Below are 25,620 nucleotides of genomic sequence, written 5' to 3' on the forward strand. Positions count from 1 at the left end.
GGTCTTGAATAAAGGAAAACTTCCTCACAAAACTACATAAAAGCAGATTGCAAAAACCAAAAAAGTTAAGGGAGACTCCTGTGTTCATAGATGACACAGACTCTTGGGTTTGGAAGAACACTAAGAGGTCATGTCATTTAGTCCCTTCACTGTGTCTGACTCTGATGTGCTCATTGTTCTGATGAGGTGCTGACAGCTGCACCGTGCATGTGTTCACTGTCTGTCCTCTACCAGCATAAAAATGCAAAACTGACGTCTCTTAAATCGAACCAGCTGCCAATAGGTTTGTAAAACCAAGCGACTGAGAAGTAGTTCTAGTCATGTTTCTGAAAATGCAATTCTACATAATTCCAGAAAATAAAAGTGTCTTAAGAATTTGAATATGTTCTTTTAAAAATTAACTTAATGGGGGAAAAAGGAACTTTGGCTATATCTACATGGCATGATATATATATAGTATTGTCATCTACTTGTCCTGGCATCCATTTCTGCAGGTAAAAGCAAAGATATTTTCAGGAAGTAAAGAGTGATTTTGAGGGATGGCATTCAAGAACTCATATATTGAAAAAGTTTGACCCAGTTAAATTCTTCTTAGCTCTGAGAAAACAAAGATATTGGGAATGTCTTGTATGTAGGGGTAGGGGTGAAAGGAAGCATTGTAATTCATTAAAAGCATCTACAAATGTTTGTCAATAATACATTTAAATAAAAATTTTGAAGCAATATCTTTTTTTTTTTTTGAGACAGGGTCTCACTCTGTCACCCAGGCTGGGGTATAGTGGCGTTATCTCGGCTCACTAAAGCCTCAACCTCCCTGGCTCAAGTGATCCTCCCACCTCAGCCTCCTGAGTAGCTGGAACTACAGGCATGTGCCATCATGCCCAGCTAATTTTTTGTATTTTTTGTAGAGACAGGGTTTCGCCATGTTGCCCAGACTGGTCTCAAACTCCTGAGCTCAAGGGCTTTGTCCACGTCGGCCTCCCAAAGTACTGGGATTACAGGTATGAGCTACTGTGCCTGGCCAACAATATCTAGTGGGTCAAAAAAATATATAATCGTGGGTCCCCAAAATACACTCATTTATGGTAAATATAGGAAATTGTTTAATTATCAATTTTTAAATTGTGGTAAAACATACATAATGTAAAATTCACCATTTCACCCATTTCAAATTGTACAACTCAGTGGCATTTAGTAAATTCACAATATTGTGCAATCACCACCACTGCCTAGTTCCAGAATATTTTCATCACCCCTAAATAAAACCCCAGACCCATGAAGCAGTCATTGGCAATTTTAAAGCAGATTTTCAAAATAATTTACTTTTGAGGTATTTTCATGAATAGCTTTTGTTTTCATCATGCTAAGAGGTTGTTAATAGAATTTACCCTAATAGGTAGCATCGGGTATATTAAGCCCAATCATCTAAGATCGGTTTGGCAACTGTGATGATCTTCGAGTATGAAGATGATGTGAAATCTGAAGTCCTGCCATGGTAAAAAAGAGAACTCTGACCTTGAACAGGCTGTAAAGATCATCTAAAAGCCAAAACAATCATATATATGTACAGAGTTCATTTTTTTCAATGATTTTATATTACATTTGCCATTTTCTTTTTTGAAATTATAGTTCTCATGTTTGTATGTGATTCTCATAGTTATTTGCAGTGCAATGAAATACTCTTCCTAGTATGTTCAATATTGAGTAGGGACATTAATACACTTTTTATGCTTAAAAAATTATTTTTCATAATGAAGTTTTTATACTTTGAACCAAGTAAGATTGTAAAATGAAGGGGTAAAAAATGGAATGGGGCTGGGGGTCATTTCACTCTAGGTACGAGCTCAGACTTTCTTGTCTTCTACTCCAAGCACCCTTGGTCATAGCCTCCCTCTGGGGAACTCCCGTTTACTTAGGTGTGGTCTCCCACCTCTGGCCTTTCCCTCCTTATCACCATGTTCCTGAACAATGATCCATTTATCCAGCTAGGCTGTTGATTGAACCACCTCTGTGAGTGGGTAGGAGAGCTCTCTGCCCCCTTGGTCTGAGTTGGTTATCAGATAAATGAGTCCTGCGTGGGTGCTAGTGACAGATGACTCAGTGCCTGAACCTATTACACTTAATGATGTTTAATTTTGAACCAGAACATTGAGACACTGCCATATCCCAAGTAGATGCCTCTCTAACAACACAATCCAGGGCACCAGGGAAGCACAGACCAGGAGGAAGGGGGCATTCATTGAGCTCTTACTCTCCGGTATACAGAGGTACTGTTCTAATACCCCTGCTTTATGTTATATATTATTGAGATATTATTATTCCCATTTTTCAGATGAAAAACCTGAGGCTAAAAGGGATTAAGTGATCTTCTCAAAGACCACAAGCTGGTAAGTGCAGAGCAAATGTTCAAATCCACATCTGCCTGATTCTTTCTTTTCAGTAAGACAAAAACACCTTCCAAGGGCACCTCTTAAAATACCACGTTGGTGCTGTGTGCTTGGTCTGTATATAAGACCAGCTCTGCTCTTCATAATTATAACTCACTCTCAGATTACATGAACGATTGTGGGAGCATTCTTTGCAAAATATATAGCAGTAGGATACCAGACACACCTGAGTCAGTGTGGAATTCAAGTTTGGGCCTGGAACACACAATTGTCTGAAATACTGACAGCAGGAATCCTCAGAAGGCTTTCTGACTAGTAAGTGACTGCTTTTTTAATTTTAAAACAAACGTCTATGAAAAGTGAAGAACAAAGCCTGAATGTTACATTGGCCAGTAAATTACACAGGCAGACATGGAGGGGTCGTCTAGAGCTTGAACAGGTGACCTGGCCTCTCTGGGCCTCACCTTTCTCACCTGTGGAATAAAGGGGCTGGAGAGGTGTCCTTTCAGTCCTCGCAAGGCGAATCTCTGTGCTTCTCCATGGAAGCCTGTGTCTCTGCACATTGTAGAAGCAGGCAAGGCCCGAGTCCTCATGGAACCCCCGACCAGCACTGGCTGCATAATTTCTGGGGCCCAATGTAAAATGAAAATGCAGGGCCCCTTGGTCGAAATTGTTAAGAATTTCAGGACTGCAACAGCAGAGCATTAAACCAGGCACAAGCTCCGAGCACAGGACCCTGTGCGACTGTATGGCCACACGCCCAGGAAGCTAGGGACCTGTGCTGCGTGTTCCCTACAATGTGTGAAGGAAGGGAATCTGGAGTAGGTCTGGGGCCCCCAGCCAGCATGGGAGGCAGGGATGCTCCTGGGGTAATGAGAGCCTTCCTTAGGAAACTGGCCAACAGAGAAGTGTGGCTCAGCAAACAGTCACCACATGTCCCTCAAGCTGGCTTCTTTGTCTTGCTTTTGAAATAAGCATTGAAATAGCCATGCTGGGCTGAGGGAAATGGTCTGTTTGGAGGCCTAGACCACAGTGCTGCAAAAGGGTTGTGAAAACATTAGGTTAAAAAATAAGGCTTCAGGTGTAGCTTCTGGTGGACTCCCTTTCAGAAGGGAGGTGAAGGCAGGACAGGTAGGAAAAGGTGGTGAAATAAGGAGGAGGAGGGGCTTGTGGGGAGGGCTCTTTTCTTTTTGGAACAAAGCACAGGGAGGAAGGAGGTGAAGTCAGACTTTCTTGCTCATTGCTGGATGGAGACAAATACGCCAGTAATGAGGAGGCTTAACACACAGTGAAGAGGAGCAACCTCCTGAGAGAGGGTTTCCACCGCAGCAGCCAACCCCAGTGTCCAGTGTCAGCCCAACACAAAAGCTGCTTCCCTACAGCTGTGCTGGGGAACCCCGAGGTCATGTGGGACCTAGAGGACGGCAGCCAGCATCACACTTCAGGGTTCTCTGCTCCCTTGATCTGGAGCAGGGACTTGGGTAGGGGCTGGAATTCCACCCCATCAGCAGGTGAGGCCCATTTCTGGAGCAACAGGTGAAACATACTCTAAATTCCTAATAATGTGCATGGTTCCTAGGGGCCTAGGAAACCCAGCATAAACGTGGAATGAAAAAACTAAGGCTGCCTTTGAGCGCTTAAACCTCAACATCTGACAGAGCAAACACAGAGAAGCAAGGTCACCCTCAAGAAGCAGAATGGCCCCAAGTCTGTGAGATTTAAGGGGGACCTGATGGAATGTAATCACCAATCCAGAGACACAGGGTGTCCAATGGGAGGCAGTAGCGGTACCTCTCTGACCTCCAATCTGCAGAGACGGAGTCTTGGTTAGGTGGACTTAAAAGGCCTCCTTAGTGAGGCTCTGTCTACAGTGGGCAAGAGCACCACAGCCCTGCAAGCCTGGGGGCAGGATTACCCAAGAGCCTTGAGCATCTGACATTACAAGAGACAGCGCTCTTCTGAGCACAGGACCCTGGGTCCTTCACATAGACCTCCTCTCATCATTCCTAATATGCAGAACAATCACACAAAGCGTTTCCTGAGATCCAGATTCAATCGAAACCAATTTAAAGAGTTATTTTGGAGGGGGGCGGGGAGACATAGAAATGCTTAATAGAGCTGGAAAAAAGTCTTTAATGAAAAAGATTGAACCCTTAAAGCCTACCCATCGGTTTCAAAAAAATATATACACACTGGCCACAGGGAGACCAGACAAGACAGGGTGAATCCTGCTCCAGAAACTCTCCCAGCTCATGGAAGGATTATTCCAAATACATGCCTCTTGGACACTGCCACAGAATTTTCATATATAACCAAGAAGATTAAAGGATGGACAAGCAAACGCATTTCATCTCTCCTCCACCAGCTGCTTTGTCTTTTATCCAATGTCCTTAGGCAACATATTCTGCTCTAGGATAAGCACAGTGTGTGCACCTCTGTCCAGAATTTGGCCTTATTATTATTATTATTTTTGAGACATGGTCTCATTCTTTCACCAGGCTGGAGTGCAGTGGCATGATCTTGGCTCGTTGCAGCCTCAACCTCCTGGGCGATCCTCCCATTTCAGCCTCCTAAGTAGCTGGGACTGCAGACGCATGCCACCACACCAGACTTATTTATTTATTTATTTATTTATTTATTTATTTATTTATTTTTGTAGAGATGGGTGTCTCATTATGTTGACCCGGCTGGTCTTGAACTTCTGGCTCCAAACAATCCTCCTGCCTCAGCCTCCCAAAGTGCTGGGATTGCAGGAATGACTCTCTACACCCAGCCAGAATTTGGCCATTGGATCAGACTCACAAGCCCTTGAACTTCTTAATGGCTGTGTTATGACATAATATGCTTTTTACCTCAACATTAAGAATTTCCACTCAAGATTTGCTCAGTCTACTTGAAGAAGTAGAAACAGACTATTTATTACAAGATGACCTTATGTCTGGAAATCTTTTCCTGCTCTCACTTTTCTACCCAGGAGAGAGCAACTTATAGCTCAATGGTGCATATAGTTCATGGGATCTAGTTTTGTTTGACACAACTTTTAAAAAGGAACATCAAATTGAAATGCAGGCCTAAGGATTTATTGCCCCTCCTCTAGGCAATCCCTCATCCAAACCATCCCAGACCGGAAACCCAGTGTGATCTGAGCAAAGACCACAACAATGGCAAAGATATGTATTGCCTATTCTGAACTTTAAATACACGTTGTCACTATAAGCAAATAGAAATGAATATTTGCTTATTGTTCTGAAGAGAACATGTCACTTAGTCTGAATCAGGGTTTCTCAACAGTGGCAATAGGGACATTTTGGGCCAGATGATTCTTTGTTGTGGAGACTGCCCTGTACAATGTAGGATGTTTAGCAGCATCCTTGGGGACTAACTACTAGTGTCTGTAACACTCCCCAGTTGTGACAACCAAATGTTCCCTTGGGGACAAAATTGCCCCTGATGGAGAACCATTGATTGAAATGATCCAGCTATGTCTTGCGGGAGGCTGGGGAAGGATGTTTCTGTGGAATCTATTAAGAAGCCAAAGAAAGCGAAGTGTTTTAATTTCCCTAGAACAAGCTATCCTTTAATTTTTCTCTCCCTTTTTTTCTTGCTCATGTAAGACCTTCTTTGAAAATGAACCAAGCTGATAAATTCTCCCAAGAACAGATGGGGTTAAATCACCTGTAGGGAGAAAACAAGAGATCGTCTGTAAATACATGCCTGAAGAGTTTGGCACCAGCCCAGTTCTTTTCAATCCAGTAATCTAGGAGGCAGGGCTGGAAAATAACTGTGATTTGGTCCTTGGAAACCTAATCAATTGTATCATAGTCCATTTGGAAACATGTTGTGTGAAGAGGAAGGTGTTGTTCAGCCATGGTACACAATCACTGGGTCCAGAAGAGAGGTTCCTCGGACATGTGGACTCTGGTTTAGGGTTTTCCTAGCACAGCCATGCCCAGAGTGGGTGAGGAAGTTGCCTTGAGTTTTCTTGGCTGATGACTCTGAAGTCCACTCGCACTAAGCCAGTTTCTGATAACGTGGCTCCCATGTGACTTGCCCACAGGGAGAAAGAACCCTTCTCAGCTGCTCTGGGTAGTCCATCCATTGGTGTGCCGCAAGATGGTCCAGTTAAGTGGCTTCTCATCCAGTGGGATGCAGGTAGGCAGTGTGAGGGGATGGGAAACCAGACGGTCCAGGAAGTGGATCTAATCTCCACCACTAGATGCTGTGCCTCCTGCCTGCAGCTCCCCTGAAGTTTGCCACCCCAGTTAAAAGGAGTTGGAACCACAAATATGAAGAGCAAGAGAGACAGCAAATGCCACTCAGCTTGGGTGGTTTGAGGTACTGGTGGTTGTGTTTGCTTTTTATTGACTTGGTATACTGACTAAGTGGCAAATACTCTTCTGGGAACTTCAGTCCATGTTGTCTCACTTGGTCTTCACACAAGCCTGTGAGGAAGGCATCTCTAGCTTCGTTTGGCAGCTGGGAAAACTGAGGTGTAGAGAAACTGAATGGCTTCAGCTAGTAACTGGCCATTAGAATCAGCCCTGTTGGGCCCCAATGGCATGGTCCTTCTAAATATATCAAGAAATATTTCCTGAGAGTCCTGAGATAAAATGGTAGCCTTTGAGAATGTAACATATGTCAAATGTGGTCTCTGTGCTTAAAGGATCACAGCATCAGAGCTGAGAGGGACTTTGGGAAATGTTCTCATTTTGTAGTTTGAACCAAACAAACATAGGGGACATGGGGGAGCTAATAACCTATCCGGGATGTTGTGGAAGAAAAGGAAAGAAAAGCCATATATGGAAGAGAAGAGCCATAAAGAAAACCTGCAGGGTGTGGTAGGTGAGTGGGTGTCAGCTGAGGTGAAGAGGGAAAGGTGAGTCAGTGTGAGGGCTGACGAGGATACCATCGACCAAAACAGGGAGGATCTGAGAGACAGCTAGTTGTGGAAAGGTGAAAAGAAGGTGAATTTGTTTCTGAAGAACTGAACCAGAAAAATCAAGGAAGTAAAAACTCCAGTTGAAAACTCCAAACCCTGAGAAGAGAAGGCATGTCTCAGAATCCATTAGAAAAGGTCTCAGTGAGACCCCTACCAGGAAGACCCAGACACCCACAGCAGGGTTCTGTCATGCTTAACATTATTAGTCACTTAGATGAACGCAGAGAAGGAATGTTTGTCACATCTGCAGTCCATGCAAAGCCAAGTGTCACAGATGTCAGAATCAATAGACAAAATAGTCAAAATAGTCAGAAAGAAGAAAAGGAACCAACATGAAACTTATCAGGGATCAATGGAAAGTCCCTGTTTATTTTCAGAAAATCAATTACACAACTATAGAATTAGAATAACAACAGTAATGATATTAATAGCTACTATTTTGAAAGTCCTATAATCACTATGTGCCAGTTGCTTCACAGAAAAATTTATTTAAACCTTACAATAGCCCTACAACATTGGTACTGTTATTATTATCTTTATCTTACAGGTGAGGAAACCAAGGAGATTAGGCAATCTTGCCTAAAATCACACAAATCTTGATTTTTCTAATGGAAAAATGCCATACTCTTTAATCAATAAGATAACTGGGGAGACCCGATTTGACCACACTTGTGTCAAAGACCTTTTCTAGTTGTAAAAATGAGCAGGTATGTGTTTGTTTATGCTACAAAGAAAAATACACAAGCACAGATGATGAATCAATTGGGAGGTTATTAAAAACTAAACATTTCATTTTCAAGTTAGTTTTACTAATTTGAAAAGGGATATTTGCAAAGTGATTCAGGATTGTAAATTTTGAAATGTTCCCCTAGAAAGGTGAAATTTTTATGATCATAGGAATGTTTACTGTGGAACGATTGAAACCCAGCTCTAGCCAGGTTTCTGATCATAACTTTACCTTATACAATTAAGGGAAAATCATGGCTAGGAATCAACTAAAAGACCCTAAGTGTCTATGGACTCCTACTGACAGAGAAGCCTACTTTAGCAGGCCTCGGTGGGAGCAAAGACATGAGAATCTGTGCTCACACCTCTCTGTGGTCACAAGCAACTTAGCCATCTCACCTATCTCTATTCTTATACAGCAGAAACTCTCAAGGTGATGACCCATCCCCACTGGGTTCATCCAGAACATTCCCTTTCTTCTTCATTTTGAGAATTCCTTGTCTCCTTCCAATCCTGCATGCCCTCCTTTCCTTGGATGACTCTGCTTCCCCTCTCCTCCTAGTAATTCCTTCTGCTCCACTCTCTTTTCAGTCCTGGGAATATACTCCCTGGATCAAGGTCATTCCTTTCAGTCCTTTGGATGGACACTCACTGTCCTTCTATTTTTGTGGCTAAGAATTTGAGCAAATTCTCACCTAAGCCTAAGAGTATAAACATAACTGTCCACTTTTATGGTCATCTGGTGCCAAATAATTACATGGTTAATCAACCTTCAGAATTGATGTCAACCAGTCAGGACAGAGGACACAAATCACAGGAGGCAAGTATTTCATCTATTGACTCCTCACCATCCTATCTATCTAATTATGGAAAAGAGTTAAGATGGTGCTTCGAGCCCATTGAGTTTACAATTTCATTTCTTTGAAAAGTTCCACGTCAACAGTACATTTTACCACAACAGGATGATTCTATAAAGACAACTGAGTAATCAAGTGGAAAAAAAGTTACTTTTATGTAAGCAGATGAGTGTAGTGTATGATTATCCATGGTATAATTTTGGTTTTCTATCCCATAATCTATGGTTGTATATTGCCCATCAACTACTCTGTGATCAAGCTGGACTTTGTCCCAAAGGGAGGAATCATAAAATGATTTAAGTTCTAGCACCTTTACTTAAATTCCCACCTGGATTCCCTGAAAGAGAATGCATTTCTGTATAGTTCTACATTATGGAATATGTCTGAAAACAAAAAAAAAAAAACATTTGGAATCCTCCTGTTCATTCAGAGGAAGGTGCCTAGTTAGTTTCTTTGCCATGTCTTTCTGCCCTCTCTTTCCCTCTTCCTTCTCACTGCCATGTCCCAAGTCCAGGCCTACAACCCTGGATGCTTGGGTTACTTAAGCGCTCCTCCCTCCCACCAGATCCCTGCCTCCAGTGTCCCTCCCACTCCAACGCATCCTACCAGGCTCCTTTAAGCCTACTGTCATGACATTGCTAACAGCTAACAGCATAACCTGTTCTCCAACTCCCTATGGTCAGGGCACTCACCATCCTTTGCAACCTGGACCCACCTTATTTGTCCAATCATACCAGGACCTTCAGGTCCCACATTCCCTACTCTTTAGTTTCTGCTGGACAGAAAACTCTCCTCACTATCCCACAAATGGACCGTACTTGTGTTAAGCTTTGAGTGACAGCCTCTGTATTTCCTCCCTCCCAGCACATAACATGTTTCCTCCAATTCTCCAGTATTTTATAATTTTACCCACCTCTCAAAGCCTACCTCTTAAAAGTATCTTCTCTATGAAACCTCCTCCTGCTACTCTAAGTCTCTTCTTACATTCCTTCTGTCGCTTACAGCTTCCATTGTATCACCCCCGCCCCTCATGAGGGTGTAGCTATTTGAGACCAAGGGCAAGAATGAGGTGCCTTCTTGTCCCGTCAGTGCTGATCACACAGCAGCACTCAACAGCATGTTCTTGAAATGGTTGAACACAGCTGATGTTGCCTACTGATCCCAGATCATTGATGCATTTCACATTACCTTTTACCAAGCACCTCCTAGGCATAAGACCTGTATTCTACTGTGAAGGGTTGTCCCTCTGCCAATCCAGACTTTCTCTTAAATATTGTCTCAAAAGCTTCAATTCTCTGGCTCATTGTTATCTGTGATTACTTGTCTGCTACATGTGTCACATCACCCCCTGAACATTTGGCTAAGTTCTAATATGTAGTCAGAATAGAAAACACTCCCTGAACAGAGGGGAACATCACACACCGGGGCCTGTCAAGGTGGGGGACTAGGGGAGGGAGAGAATTAGGAGAAATACCTAATGTAGATGACAGGTCGATGGGTGCAGCAAACCACCATGGGATGTGTATACCTATGTAACAAACCTGCACCTTCTGCACATGTACCCCAGAACTTAAAAGTATAATAAAAAAAAAAAACTGTTAAAAAATGTGAAAAAAAAACTGCACTCCCAGAACTTTAAAAGTTCCAGTCTCTGAAAGCCATGATGCCATTACAATGAGACAAAAAGAAGACCTTCAAAAGCAAAATTTGGGGAAGTTGTCTTTTCCATAGCTCCTTGACTCACGCCCATGGGGCCGCTTCTGGTTTATTCTTTTTGAGAGGCTTGTTATGGATATTGTTACATTGACATGAGGGCATTGGAAAGACAGATCTAATCCCCCCAAACACACTTGTCATATACACCCACAAAATAAATGAGACAATAAAACAATGAATAACAAATGATTACAGCTATCCTTAAAATTAAATAGTAACCTGCAATAAAATGGGTGAGGACTCAGTTTAGAGAAACCCTTCCTTAGAAAAGTTGGTTGCATTCAGATTCTAAAAGTTGACCTTCAGTAGAATCTAAGCCCTTGGCATTTGTTTTATTATCTTTCCAGAGCTTTACACTTTATTGTAAGAGGCAGCTAAAGCAAGTCTCTCTTGTTCCTACACATTTCTTTAAGAACTCAGTTCACTTCCCTATAGCAAGTGCCACCCAATGCTTTCCCTAAAAGCTCAGTCCACTTCCCTATAGTAAGTGCCACCCACTGGAAACTAGCAAAGCATTCCAGGATTTCAGTATTTCTGAGATGCCATAAGAGCACTGGGGGGAAAAAAAGGAGATGAAGAAGGGTATTGGGTGGGGAAAATCTTACCTCAACTTCTGACTGGCGGGGACGGTTATTTTATTAAGCTTGTCCATTCTGTTTGGTAATTGTAAGAGACACGAATAACTGTCCAGTGGTCACGTCAGCAGTTCCTGGCCCTCCTAGGGAGCAGCATGGTAAGCCTCTGGTCTCAAGGGTTCCGGCCACTCAAGTCTGATTTCTGAGAGTGCAGGCTGCTGGCAAACACCCCTGCTCTAGGGAGAAGTAAAACTTGCCCGAGCACATAGTCAAGTTTCATGTTTCTACATAATCATGTGATCTGGATAGCCAGCCAGCTTGGTGATTACTCCACTTTGTGTAAACTTTAATAATGAAACCTATTGGGCAGGCAAATTTCTTTCCAGCTGCTTTCTTTTACAATCAGATTTGTAACCAGGTTAGGACAAGTTTCTGGCTGGTCACTACTTCCTGTTTGTCCCAAACACATATAGTCTGTTTCCAGCAGGTGCATGCTATAACTGGGAACTTCCTGGGCTCAAGGAAAAGCAGAGTAATCAAGTCCATCTGAACCTCTCTTGGAGACTTTCTGCTTATTTGCATAAAGTTATGGATAAGCTTTTTCTACTTATAGAACCATTATATAAAAATGGCATTTTTGTGCTTTTTCCTACCCCCCGATGCGGGCAATACGTTTAAAAATAAATATCAGGTTGTCAGTGGCATGGTGGTAACAGTTTACTCAGAGAATTAGAGTATCTCTTTTTCTGGAGCTCTATTTAAAATGGGATGGGCAATTCTCTGTTCATCTGGGGGTAGGGATGGATGACTCAGGAAAGGGGAGATGAACTCTATCGTCAGATGTGCAGCCTCCTTATTGCCTGATAGAGTCAGGAGTTACCTCGCCGATAGCCAGATGCTTTCAAACAAACCAGGATGTACCCAAAAGTCAGATGAGAACAAATCTAACAGTTTCACAACAATGCAATTCCTACATCAGGCCATTCTGAAGTCCTAAAAGCAGAATGCCATTCCCCTCCTTGCATTTGCCTCTTTCTGTCCTGTCCACCACTTGCTCATCACACCCAGTGACACGCCAGACACGAGGCCATCTCAAGGTCAGACAGGTGGGGTGAGGCTGGGAGGAGGGAGCCATACCTGTAGGGGCTGAACCTATTCAGAGAACTCTACTTCCCTCCTGGAAGACTTTATATTTCCTTCTGCCTAATCTGAAAAATGCTGATTTACCTGTTGTTTAAAGAGCAGCCCGCAGTCCAGGGTCAAGGAGGAAGAAAATGGGAGGGAAGTGACCTTTTGTACCTGGACACACTTTTCTGCAGCCATTGAGAATGCCCTGCTCACCCTTGTGGAATAAAGTACACGTTTCCAACATTTATCAAGGGAACCAGTCTTCTCCTGGGTCAGAATACACAGCAGGACAAAGTAAAGAGCTCTCAGTTACCTCTCCTGTTGCAGACCCAAGATCTGGCTGAAGACAGTGGGGAAAGAGGAGAAGACAGAAGAGGAGAAGGAGGTGGAGGAAGAGGAGGAGGAGGAGGAGGAAGAAGCGGAGGAGGAGGAGGAAGAAGAAGCGGAGGAGGAGGAGACAGAGGAGGAGGGGGAGAAGGAACAGCGGCAGTGGTAGAGGTGGAAACCGTGGATGGATTTCTTCCCTCCTGTGCCTCTTCTTTGCACAAATGGATGTTCTGTCTTTTTCCAGGTAACCTTGATTATTCACATTCATCACTGCCTATGAATTTCTGGTTTGACCAGATGTTTAGGAGCAGAATCTTCAGAGCTGTTGAAGGGTGGGGCCCTTCTGCTTGGCCAGGACACTGACTTGGCCAGGCCAGCAAGAGAGCAGACAATGTTGCATGAGAAAAATGCAAGTGCTTGTCTCCTGCCATCATTCATTTTCCCCAATCTGGCTGCTCAATTTTCTTGCAGTGCATCCTGAAGGAGCTCTAGACCCTGCCTCCTCCTCTCCCATAGTTCCTAACTGAAAGAAACAAGTAGACTAGGATGGTAAAGGCACATACAATGTCATCAAAGATCAGGAAATTCAGGCTTCACTGAATGAAATGATAATAGTCAGCTCGTTCTTTCTGAATTATTGTAAAATGCACCCCATAAGTCACTTGACTTTTCTCTCCACCAACAACTTTGCTCAACACCTGGCTGACAACTTCATATTTCCCCAGAGAAAAAGACCAGAGGCAAAGGTTACACTTCTGCTTTTTCTTTTTACAGCCACTGGTCTTTCTTCTTTTTACTGTATTTAGTCTAACATGATGAAAATGAGAGACTGTGTTTCCAGACTGGACATTTTACCCCATGTGAAATACAGTGTGACAGCCTAATGTTCCAGGCCTGCCACAACTGCTTTGGCTTCTAAGTTGCTCCATGACTAAATGAAAATTTTAAATTATTTGACTCTAATTTTGAAGTGGGGAAAACCTGTTTTTTTTTTTTTTTTTTTTTTTTTTTTTTGAGACGGAGTCTTGCTGTCACCCAGGCTGGAGTGCAGTGGCACGATCTTGACTCACTGCAAGCTCCGCCTCCTGAGTTCACACCATTCTCCTGCCTCAGCTTCCTGAGTAGCTGGGACTACAGGCACCCGCCACCATGCCTGGCTAATTTTTTGTATTTTTTAGTAGAGACAAGGTTTCACCGTGTTAGCCAGGATGGTCTCGATCTCCTGACCTCGTGATCCGCCCGCCTCGGCCTCCCAAAGTGCTGGGATTACAGATGTGAGCCACCACACCTGGCCGGGGAAAACCTTTTTAAGCAAAACACAAAAAGGAAAAACAGTGGTAAATCTAGATACATATAAATTTAAACTTTTATGTGACAAATGCACCATAAATGAAAGTCAAAATACAAATGACAGGCCCCATAACTGGATTACCAAAAAGGTTAATGCAAAGATGGAAACTGATGATACCAAGCCTTAGTTGGTAACTTATAAAAGGAATGAAACCACACAACGTGGTTCCACAGCGCACACAGAACGATATACCATGATAAGCCTTTAAGGTCGGTCTACATAGCACAGTGGACATGGAAATTAATGAATCACTAGATTCACAGATGAGAAATTGACAATCCCAACCTTAAAGAAAATTTGGAGTGCCTATACACTGTTGCTAAAAGTATAAGGTGCAATGGTTTGGAAACAGTTTGGTATTTTCCAATAAATTTGATGGCATGCATACCTATGACCCAGCATGGATCACAGATATTGCGGAGCACTCCTAACTCTGTATATCAAAGCATGTGCTAGAATTTTCACTGAAGCACCATTTCTTTTCTTTTCTTCTTCTTCTTTTTTTTTTTTAAGATGGAGTCGCACTCTGTTGCTCAGGCTGGAGTGCAATGGTGCGATCTTGGCTCACTGCAACCTCCGCCTCCCAGGTTCAAGCAATTCTCCTGTCTCAGCCCCCCTGTAGCTGGGAATAGAGTTGCATGCCACCATGTCTGGCTAAGTTTTGTATTTTTAGTAGAAACGGGGTTTCACCATATTGGTCAGGCTGGTCTCGAACTCCTGACCTCAGGTGATCCACCCACCTCAGCCTCCCAAAGTGCTGGGATTATAGGCATGAGCCACCACGTCCGACCTAGCCACCAAGCCCAGCCACCATTTCTAATAGGGGAAAAAAATGGCCCTGGAAATAACCCAGTTGTCCATCAACTGGAGAACAACTAAATTAATTGTGACATATTTTCATAATGGAGTACTATTCAACAGTGAAAATGAGTGAACCCCAGTTGCATCAGTATGGATAAATAACAAAAATAATTTGAGCAATAAAGGCAAGCTAAAGAAGTGTATGATCCCTTTTATATTAAGGTTAAAGACATGTAAAACTAAGTAATATGTTATTTAGGATAAGTACATCTATGGTAAAACCAAGCAAGGGAATGAAAAATGAATAAGTCACCAGGGAGCAGGATTGGAGCGAAGGGACATGCAGGGCTTCCAAGCAATTGTAGTATATTTCTTAAGTTGAATGGTGGGTATAAGTGTTCATTTTATTGTTATTCTTTATATCTTATACATATTGTAGGTATTATATATTTAACACAAATTTTAAAAGATCTGATCTATCTTTGAACTTGTGTTGTAATAACAACAAAAAAAAAAAAAAAAAAAAAAGAAAGAAAAAATATCTGGTCTAGAATTATGGGGCAAAGTCAAGATAGCATGCCTAAACCTAAGTCAGATGGTGGTGATCCACCATCTCTGTGAGATGATGAGACTTGAGAACAAGAAGACGGATTGTACTGCTTCTTGGGGTTGAGACCCCACCAGCCCTGGTTTCTCTTGGGCTCTTTGCCTTGCATCTGTGGATGACAACTACAACACCATGTTTACTGAATGCTTTCTGTGTTTCCTTTACTATGATGACATTCATTTTACATGTGAAAAAATTGATTCTGAGAGAGGCTAAGTAAACCGGTCTAAAGTTACACCACTCATCAATGGAAAAGCTGGGACTCAAACCCCAGTCTGTTTCCATAGTCTAAGCTACTAATCATAGACTCTGCCACTGCAAGAGAGATTTTCTGTGATTCAGCAGACAGGCCTGCTCTGGCATCAGGCACCAACTTAACCATGACCTTGGGCAAGTCTTTTAGTCTCCCTCACCTCAACTTCTTACCTCTAGAGCAAGGGATTCAAAGGGGCTGGGGCTCCATCTGACTTGGAATCTGGACATTGCCAATGTGCACAGAAACCGGTTAGTGCCAGTGGAAACATTCTCAGAGCTTTTAGAAGAGAAGTCTTGAATTCTCTTTACTAGACTGCTTCCCAAAGAAGTGCTCAGTGGCTGTGGCAGTTTACAGTGCCTTGGAGGGAGTCCAAGTCCTCACTGGGACTGGAAAGTCAGGCACAGTTCACTCTCTTCTCTGCTACCCACACACTGATGGCTTTTCCCTTGCCAGGGCCAGTTTAGGCAAACTGCCACAGGAAGTTGGCAAGGTGTGATGTTGGTGCTATGCAGTCTGGTTCTATGCAGAACTATAACCTGTTTCCAAGAGGCTCAGCTTCACAACAACTCCATGGGGGCAAAGGGTACTATGGTCATTCCCATTTTATGATGTGAAGTCTGATCCTCAGAAGGGTGACAAAACTTACTCAAGGCCACCCATCTTCTTGACATCAGAGCTAGGGCCTTTAGCCCCCAAACCATTCACCCTCCTTTCCTTTCTTGTGCTGGCCCCCTTTCTCAGGGTTGGGACAGGGATGCATCCTGCAGCAATCACAGACCCAGTAGCTTTCCCACGCATGCGGGCCAAAGTGGCAGGAGCTTGCGGATGGACAGGCCCGTGCCTGGTTTTCTCAGCCAGTGCCAGTGAAGAGCCAGAGGGAAAAAGGCTGGGAGGAAGCTAAGGAGCCTGGGTAAACCAGTGGAGGAAAACAGCGGAAGAGACTAGGGAAAGGCAAAGACAGACAAGGAAGCGTGGCAGATGCTGGCAGTGGTTTTTCTGTTCTTTTTTGTGGAGACAAGGAAGAAAGAAGGAAGAAGAAAAGACATCTGAGACTTGAGCAAATGGGCAAAGGCCCTTTTAGGCTCAAGGCTTTATTTCTGTGAGACAAATTGGTTCCCTATTTTATCTGTTCAGTAAACTCAACATTCTATACATCAGATTGGCATGGAGTGGGCATCTGTTTTATCAGGAGAATGACTCAGATGAAAACATCGTTTACTCATTGCATCCAGCCCAGCCTCTATTGGCAAGAACATTACAATAGCCTAATATTGGGATGGACAACTCCTGGCCTATGTGTCATCTTTACCTCCTCCCTTGCCTTCTGTCCTCAGAGCCAATCTGCCAAGATTCTCCTTGGAAATATTTCCACATTTACCCTGCTGTCACTATAGCCCAGGCCCCCACTTGGTTCACTGATCAGCCTCTTGCTACTTCTCAGTAGTGAGATCCACCCCCAATCTCATCCCCATGCCTCCAGCTACTGACCTTTCTTAAGGACCTCAGAGGAATTTCCTTTCTTCTAGAACCAAGTACCAATGTCATTCATGCCTCACTGTGACTGAGTCTCCTTGATGGTCCATCTTATTCCTCACTAATTCCCAGCAGGTGACCATCCCTTTAGCCAGACGGGTCATCAAACACTCTTTTCTCCTCATCAGTCACATGGCCCAGCCGCTAGTCAGAACCACCACCCAGAAGTGAAGAAGCAGATACACAAGGCCTTAGGAAATCAGGAGTCCAGGTAATTTCCATCAGTCAGGGCCATTATGGAGCCAAAGAGCAGGCAAGGGTGGAGAGGCAGTTTTCGGTCCAAGGAATGGGTGTATCAGAGATGTGGAAAGCTGAGATAACACTCATGGCCTCCAAGAGGTGAGGGTCTATGATATGGTTTGTTTGTGTCTCCACCAAAATCTCAACTTGAATTATATCTCTCAGAATTCCCATGTGTTGTGGGTGAGACCCAGGGGAAAGTAACTGAATCATGGGAGCTAGTCTTTCCCGTGCTATTCTTGCGGTAGGGAATAAGTCTCACTAGATTTGATGGGTTTATCAGGGGTTTCCACTTTGGCTTCTTCCTCATTCTCTCTTGCTGCTGCCATGTAAGAAGTGCCTTTCACCCTCTGCCATTATTATGAGACCTCCCCAGCCATGTGGAATTATAAGTTAAATTAAACCTCCTTTTCTTCCCAGTCTCAGGTATGTCTTTTCAGCAGTGTAAAAATGGACTAATACACTCTGTCTGCCCTATGTCCTCAGTAGCAAATGCTGTGGCTGTTGATTGTCATTTTCTGTTACCTTTTATCTGATGAAGCTTGACTAGTCTCCCAGTCTTTCTACTTAGGCAGTCCATCTGGATTCAAAGGGTCCCCAAACAAAAGCAGAGCAGACTTGAGCAAATATTTTATGTTCTTAAATATTCCATTGTCTCCAATTCAATATATATTTGTGATCCCAATCCCATCATAAAGATATCATAAAGATTTCCCTTATCTCCAATTCAATGTATAAATTTAATGTGATCCCAATAAAAATACCAAGAGGATCCTCTCCCTCCTCCCAAGCCAGATCTAGACAACTTGGTTCTAATGCTTCTTTATAAAAATAAACAAGCAAGAATAGCCAAGAAACCCTTGAAAAAGAAAAACAAGGAATGGGAAGGGACTAGCCTTCCTAGACATTAAAGTACAGTATGAAGCCTCTCTAATAAAAACAGCGTGGTATTGCTGCATGACCAATGGAAGTAATGAGAAAATATGTAGATAAATAGAAGATTATAAGCAAATTAAGTATATTATGAATGTGGCATATCTAATGGGGAAAAATAGGCTTTTCAATAAACAGTACAATTGCACAGCCATTGGGAAAAGTACAAAACTTAGATTCATACCTCAAATCATTTGCAAGAGTGAACTCCCAATGGATCAAAAATCTAAATGTAAAACATGAAGCCATAATATACCTGAAGAAAACACAGTTAAATTTCTTTATAAACTTATCTATGATTTAAAATCTAGAACTAATAAAAGAAAATCTTAATAAATTTAACCTGAGAAACATAAAAATTTTTTCATAGCAAAAAACACCATAAGCAGTATCAAAAGATAAAAGATAAATTGGGAGTCAAGAGTTGCATCATATATCACAGAACCAAAGGCTAATATCTCCTTAATAGGTAGAGATCCTAAACTTTGAGATAAAAAAAAAAAAAAACCAACTAGACAAAAAGTGGGCAAAACCATGAACATGAAAGGCAGGAGGCCTTTAAATGGATGAAAAGTATGCTTAACCACACTCCTATTAAGAGAAAGATTATTATAATCATGCTGAAGAAATATTTCAGATAAGCAAAAATCTAAAAGTCTGATGATGCTGTTGTTAAGGCTGTGAGGAAAAGACACCCTTTGCTTGCAAAATGTTGTACTCCCCTAGGAGGGGATTTGGCAATGAGGTAGGAGGTGGGGCTTGGACACCAGACCAAATTGAGGACTGTATAAAACAAGTCAGGCTGGAAGCACCTCCCATGTCAGTTTACCATTGCCATGGCAACACCCAGAAGTTACCACCCTTTTCTCTGGCAATGACCTGACAACCTGGAAGTTACCACCCTTTTCCTAGAAATTTCTGCATTAAACTACCCCTTAATTTGCATCTAATTAAAAGTGGATATAAATATGAGTGTAGCTCTGCCTCTCAGCCGCTACTCTGTGCACACCGTCTATAAGTAGTCCTGCTCTGCAAGGAGCAGTGCTTCTGCTGCTGCTGTAGGCTGCCGCTTCAATACAAGTTGCTGTTTAACACTATTGCTGGCCCTTGAATTCTTTCCTGGACAAAGCCAAGGACCCTCTGGAGCTAAGCCCCGATTTTGGGCTTGTCTGTCCTACATCAGCAATACCTAATAAAATTACTTGAATTTACCTTATGACCCAAGCAACCTCAATTCTAGGAACCTATCCTGAAGATACACCTACATATGCAACATCTGCACACATTTATTGCAGTTTTATTGGCAATAGCAAAAGATCAGAAACACCTAAATGTCTAGCAATGGGAGACTGGTTGAATACATTTTGTGTATTCACACACACACATACACAGGCACTTGTTATTGCAACAATAAACACCGGAAGGGTAAATCAGAAGCTAATGAAAGTAGTCACTCATGGGAGGCAGAAGGGAGCTGGAAATAGTGGGGACGTGATAGGGATTAGATAGATTCTCTGGATCTATCTTTTTTTTTTTTTTTTTGAGACAGAGTCTCATTTGTCACTCTGGCTGGAGTGCATCAGGCTCACAGCAGCCTCAACCTCCTGGGTTCAAGTGATCTTCCTACCTCAGTGCCCGAGTAGCTGGGACCACAGGCAGACACCACCATGCCCAGCTACTAGTTTGTGATTTTTGTAGAGATTGGGTCTCACCACACTGCCCAGGCTGGTCTCAAATTCCTGGGCTCAAGTGATCTGCCCGCCTTGGCCTCCCAAAGGTGTGATTACAGGCATGAGCCACCGTGCCCTGCCTGGATCTATCTTTTTATTAAGTTTTGTCTTTTAAACTAGGTAACCGTTTGACATAAACAAAAAAAAAAAAATTAAGGCAAAGAAAAAAAGGCAAATCTTAAAGACAAAAATGAATTTAGATGGTAACATATCACAGAGGAGAGAATTATTTCAAGTGACTCTTGAACACAGTCCTCTGAGCATTCTCTGTGAAACTTATTCTAAGAATAAAAATAACTGCAAAGAAATCTTGAACTTTACTCAGTATTTTTATTTTTAGTAGTAAAACTATGGGTTTTGCTGTTTGAAGTGAAATTTTGTATATGGTATGAAAAATTAGTAGGAATGAAGATTTTTGGTATAGGAGAAAAAAGTAAAAATATAAAATCAAAGAAAAAATGTGGTAATTTCAAATTTAATGGAAAATATCAATCTGAACTTATGATTTTTCTAGCACTAGACACTGAAAAGTCATAGAAGTAATGACGGTCCAAATTTTACATACATCAAATATGTTCAATTACAAATATAGTAAGAAAAGGATTCTCCACTAAAAGGAACCAGGTTCTCATTGAAGAAAGGGTTGATTTCAGGGAAAATAGAAGGAGAACCTGGACTACCTTGTGCCATAAAAGTAGTCACCCATGGGAGGGAAAAGGAGTTGGAAATAGTGGAGAAGTGATAGGAATTAGATAGATTCCCTGGATTTTTTTTTAAGACAAGTTCTCACTTGTCACTCTGGCTGGAGTGCAGTGGCGCCATCATGACTCACTGCAGCCTCAGTCTCAATCTCCTGGGCTCAAGCAATCCTCCCACCTCAGCACCTGAGTAGCTGGGACCACAGGCACGCACCACCATGCCCAGCTAATGTGGTGCAGATCTTTGAAAGAGGCACATAGGAGCAGATCCTTGAAAGAGGGTCCAGTAGACAATTTTGGGACAATTTGAGCATTTATAAAAAATGACTGTAATTTATTTTAAAACATGGAAAAAATAAAAATCCACCAGTCCATAAAAACATAACCAAAAAACAAAGTCATTTGCCAACACTGAAGGTAACTATTCCGTCAGCTTTTTAATTGAAAATGTAAAAAATTAAATCAGCTGGAAATTAAAGAATAATAAAGCAATTTTCCTGATGTTTTTAGGAGAAATTAAAAATCCTCAATTTTCACAGAATGCTAGCTAATAAATGTAGAATGAATGATAGAATTAGAAAACTACCATTTTGCAACCCCAAATGAAGAATTTATTTAGGCAAGGATCATCAATTAATGCTAAAACCAGTAGGTAAAATGTTGTTGGGGAGCATCATATCCTTATGACATCACAAGGTATCAAAGTCCCATGCCCGAGGCTGCTGGCTGATTGCAAAGCTGACCTTTACAGAGTTGACAGCTGACTGGTACTCACGTAATCAAATTCAGCATTATCCATATTGCTTCCTGATGCAAAATGAAGTACATCTCACCTATGAAATATCTCAATTTAATCAACTTTTAAATCTAGCTTCCAGCTTATACAGAATGAACATATAATGAATCATCCAAAGTAGGGCATCTCTGGGAGTGAAAGAAGACTCAACCAACAATTATAGCAGGACTGCAGGTGTAAACAGAGAGGACATTCCTAGGCAAACTGGAATGTGAGATCCTGCTAGGTTTATAGGAAATAAAGGGGATACAGGAACACGTTGAACAGCATTAAGAGAAAACAGTTATAATAATTTAAAAATCCAGATGTAGAAATTCTACAAGACTACCACTTGGTCTTCTTAATGTTAGAAGACCAAGAATGCTAGATGGTATTAGGGAATTGTTAATGTTCTTAGGTATGGTAATGGTACCATGGTAATGTAGAGGAAGATCCTTATTCGGATACTTTTGGGAGGTGCACACTGATGAATGTAAGGTTTAAGTGTCATGATGTCTACAACTAATTTTCAAATGGTTCAAAAAAATGTTAGCAATGATCAAAGTTGGGTGATGAGTGTATGGGTATTCATTGTACCAGTCTTTCAACTTTGCTACATATTTGAAATTTTCATGTAAGAGTTTTAAAAATGGCAGGACTTGAAATGTCTCTAACCTTCAACCCTTTCCAGAGAGCCATCTGGGATATTGGAACTGCCTGGTGCCCCAGGCCTCCTCATCAGTGCTCTTTCCATCAAGGAAGAATCCTGGCTGGGGCCCTCCTGTCATAGTCATCTCATCTCCCAAATATTGTGCCAATCTTGACCATTTTCTTATTTCTCGTGGCCTGTCCAAATCTCACTCACCATCAAGGCCCACTTTCTTTTGGAAGCTATTCCTATTTCCTTCTAGTCCACTTGGGCCTCTACTCTGATCTCCTCTATCTCCCTGTCTTTTGAGCATAGTTTTGACTTATTTTTCATAAGTATATATCCTGTTACCATGATAAAATTATAAACATCCCCGCGAAACGACTATATTCTATTTCTTTGGTCTTTCTCTGTGGCAAGCACAAAACTAGACCATTCTTTGTATAGAATAAATATGTTCTGAATTAAATGTGGAAGTTATTAAAAGACATCAACAAAAAAATACTTGTGAGATGCAACTACTTTTCAAACTCAGGAACTGAATTGATGTTGAAAATCATTGAAATTCTAATAGTTTACCTATGCCGAATGGGGAACTACATGGCCATGGAAGCCCTGCTTTCCAATCACAGTATTTCTTTCAACTGAGCCTGGTCATAAACTAAGAGTCCTTTTCAAAACGTGTTCAGGAAGTCACTGCTAAGTACTCAGAGCGGACAGTCCAGCAGAAATGTATTTGTCAGACTGTCCAAAGAGAAGAGTAAGGAATCAAACTTCCATCTCCTAGAACTCACCATCTGTCATTAACGCCAGTACTACGGTCTCTTTCATATTGTCTTTCTGACTCCACTTGCACGTCTTACCTACCTCCAAACTCTACTTCTAGTCCCCTAACTTTCCAAACGGATCCCTGGACTCTCCAGGCTTCATCAGCATTTCCTTTACTATCATCCCTGGAACAGTCTCCATTGGACGATGGTATCCCCTGCAGTATGGGACCCAGATTCCCTCGGCTTCAAAGTGCTGTGATATTGGACTACATTATGCTCAGCATTCAGTCATAATTTGACAGATCTGGAATAGGCCTTCAAGAGAAAGCTGCCAGATTTAGCAAATAAGAATACAGGATGCCTAGTTACACTTTAGATAAACAATGCTTTTTCAGTAAAAGCACATCCCAAATATTGCATAATGTCCTGTCCTTCATCTGGGAAATCCACGAGGAGAAAACCAAGGCCCAGAGAGTGAACTGACTTGCAAAAGTCCATTTTAGAGAAAAACCCCAAGCCAGAAAAAAACAGGAGCAGAAAGAACTAAGATCTCCTTACTCCTGACCCATGTATAATGTTTTTTGTGTGTGTATGTGTAAAAACAACAATGTCTGTGGTCAAGATATGTTGAATCAGTACAAGGAAGCAAATTTCTCATGAAAAAAAATTTTGTACATGTTTTCTATTAATTATTTAGCCAAATAATTTGGGCCTCTAGGATGAAATGGCGTAAGGAAATTCTCAGATCTCCAACCTGAGATTATCTGAGTGGAATAATTCAAATTCCTTCTTAAGAAATGGCAAACCAAAGACTGGACAGACTGGAAATATCAAAGAATGTATGTGGAGCTGGAGCGAGGGAATTGAATGCGTCACTACCATCCTTCCAGACCACGACTGCCAATCTGTGTGATTTCAACGTTCTGCTTTTTTACAAATGAGAAGACCCGGTATATAAAGTGTAACAAATATTTATAGAAAGCCACTTTTTATGAAGAAATCTTTTTAGATATTCTATAACATTACTGTCTTTCAAATCAATAAGTAACTGGCTAATATTCCAATAGAAAAATGAGCAAAGAACACAAAAGGTTAATTCACAAGAGAAGAGATCCAGATGGCTGATAAAAATATAAACTAGCTCACAATCCCACTAAACCAAAGAAACACAAATTAAACCAAGTATAAAATACCACTGATTTTTTAACCTACCAAAGTAAGCTTTTAAAAAGTTATAAAATTCAGGTTTGGCAAAGGCATTGTTAAATGGGTGCTCTTGCCACTGACAGGACAACAAATTGATAGAAACTTCCTAGAAGGCAGTTTGGTTCTAGGTATCAGGATTCTTAAAATGTTCATATGCTTAAAAGAAAAATATAAAATTTTATTAATTTTTCCTAAGTGTAGAATTATTTATACCAGTATAGAATTAGAAACGATGTAAACATTCAACAATAATATAATAACTTCATAAATTATGATATAGCCGTAAGTGGAATGCTCTGCAGCCATTAAAAACAGTGTTTTCAAATAATCTATAACCATATAGGAAAATCTTTACAATGGACCAAAAAAAAAAAAAAAAAAAAGGGCAGGGCCTGAAACTGTCCATATAGTTTGATTCAGGTTTTATAATCTCGCACACAAACACAAAGGAAAACACACTGATACATTAAGTCTAAGTGTGATTCTCTCTGGGTGATTATCATATCCACTTAAAAAATGTTCCTAAATTTAAAGAATCTTAAAATCTTAAGATCTTTGGATTTATTTTTAAATTACAGTAAAAATTGGAAACATACTTTGTGTACAGGTAAAATATAACTGCTTTGTATAAGTTCCTTACAGCTGCCATAACAAATGACCACAGATATGGTGACTTAAAAAAACAGAAATTTATTGTCTCACAGTTCTGGAGACCAGAAGTCTGAAATCAAGGTGTCAGTAGGGCCATGCTTCCTCCAAAGGCTCTGGAGAAGAATCCTTCTTTGTCTCTTCCAGCTCCTTGTGGCTCCAGCCACTCCTTGGCTTGTGGCTGTATACCTCAAATCCCTGCCTCTGTCTTCACATGGTCTTCTCACTTCTCTCCAAGTCTCTCCTCTGTGTTGCTTATCAGGACACTTGTTACTGAATTTAGGGCCCACCCACTTAATCCAGGATAATCTCAAATTGGCATCCTTAATATAATCAAATCTGCAAATACTCGCTTTCCAAAAAATGTCACATTCACAGGTTCTAAGTGTTAGGCAGTAGACTTATCTTTTGGAGGACTATCATTCAACCTGGGGTAGGAAGTGGGACTGGACTCTGGAGGCGGTGCTCTGACACCAGACCAAATTGAGGGACTAGCTAAAACAGGTGCGTGGCAGAAGCACCTCCCGCTAAGGCACGCCCAACAGTGTGCTGTGTCAGTTTACAGTTGCCATGGCAACACTCAAAGGTTACTGCCCCTTTCCATGGCAATGACCCGACAACCTGGAAGTTACCATCCTCATCCTAGAAATTTCTGCATAAACCACGCCTAAAAGTGGGCATAAATATGAATGCTGCACTATCTCTGAGCTGATGCTCTGGGCACACTGCCTATGGCGTAGAACCTCTGCTGCTGCTGTACACCGCTGC

The 25,620-nt window shown here is 41.7% G+C and overlaps 1 protein-coding gene across 9 annotated transcripts in view, besides 6 other annotated features; it reads right to left on the reverse strand.

The window, feature by feature from the left end:
• The window catches only part of BLNK (B cell linker), an 82,399-nt gene extending 70,951 nt beyond the window's left edge, over positions 1-11,448 (reverse strand). For all 9 annotated transcript variants that reach the window (NR_047680.2, NR_047682.2, NR_047683.2 and 6 more), the window contains exon 1: positions 11,231-11,448. Coding sequence is in view for 5 of the 9 variants with exons in the window: in NM_001258442.2 (NP_001245371.1) it covers positions 11,231-11,277 (47 nt within the window). In the remaining 4 variants the exon portion in view is untranslated. The remainder of the gene's footprint in view (positions 1-11,230) is intronic.
• Positions 6,754-7,953: an enhancer, noted in NCBI's record as "P300/CBP strongly-dependent group 1 enhancer chr10:98026632-98027831 (GRCh37/hg19 assembly coordinates)". NCBI's record gives its function as "activates an origin of replication core promoter dependent on BRD2, BRD4, P300/CBP, MED14 and CDK7 cofactors, with strong dependence on P300/CBP, by STARR-seq in HCT116 cells {active_cell/tissue: HCT116}" and the evidence as "EXISTENCE:reporter gene assay evidence [ECO:0000049][PMID:35650434]".
• Positions 10,194-10,313: an enhancer, noted in NCBI's record as "active region_3820". NCBI's record gives its function as "activates an Ori minimal core promoter by ATAC-STARR-seq in GM12878 lymphoblastoid cells {active_cell/tissue: GM12878}" and the evidence as "EXISTENCE:reporter gene assay evidence [ECO:0000049][PMID:35858748]".
• Positions 10,344-10,393: an enhancer, noted in NCBI's record as "active region_3821". NCBI's record gives its function as "activates an Ori minimal core promoter by ATAC-STARR-seq in GM12878 lymphoblastoid cells {active_cell/tissue: GM12878}" and the evidence as "EXISTENCE:reporter gene assay evidence [ECO:0000049][PMID:35858748]".
• Positions 12,503-12,602: an enhancer, noted in NCBI's record as "active region_3822". NCBI's record gives its function as "activates an Ori minimal core promoter by ATAC-STARR-seq in GM12878 lymphoblastoid cells {active_cell/tissue: GM12878}" and the evidence as "EXISTENCE:reporter gene assay evidence [ECO:0000049][PMID:35858748]".
• Positions 13,089-13,138: an enhancer, noted in NCBI's record as "active region_3823". NCBI's record gives its function as "activates an Ori minimal core promoter by ATAC-STARR-seq in GM12878 lymphoblastoid cells {active_cell/tissue: GM12878}" and the evidence as "EXISTENCE:reporter gene assay evidence [ECO:0000049][PMID:35858748]".
• Positions 13,269-13,328: an enhancer, noted in NCBI's record as "active region_3824". NCBI's record gives its function as "activates an Ori minimal core promoter by ATAC-STARR-seq in GM12878 lymphoblastoid cells {active_cell/tissue: GM12878}" and the evidence as "EXISTENCE:reporter gene assay evidence [ECO:0000049][PMID:35858748]".

Source organism: Homo sapiens, chromosome 10, assembly GCF_000001405.40.
Source record: "Homo sapiens chromosome 10, GRCh38.p14 Primary Assembly".
Lineage (NCBI taxonomy): Eukaryota > Metazoa > Chordata > Mammalia > Primates > Hominidae > Homo > Homo sapiens.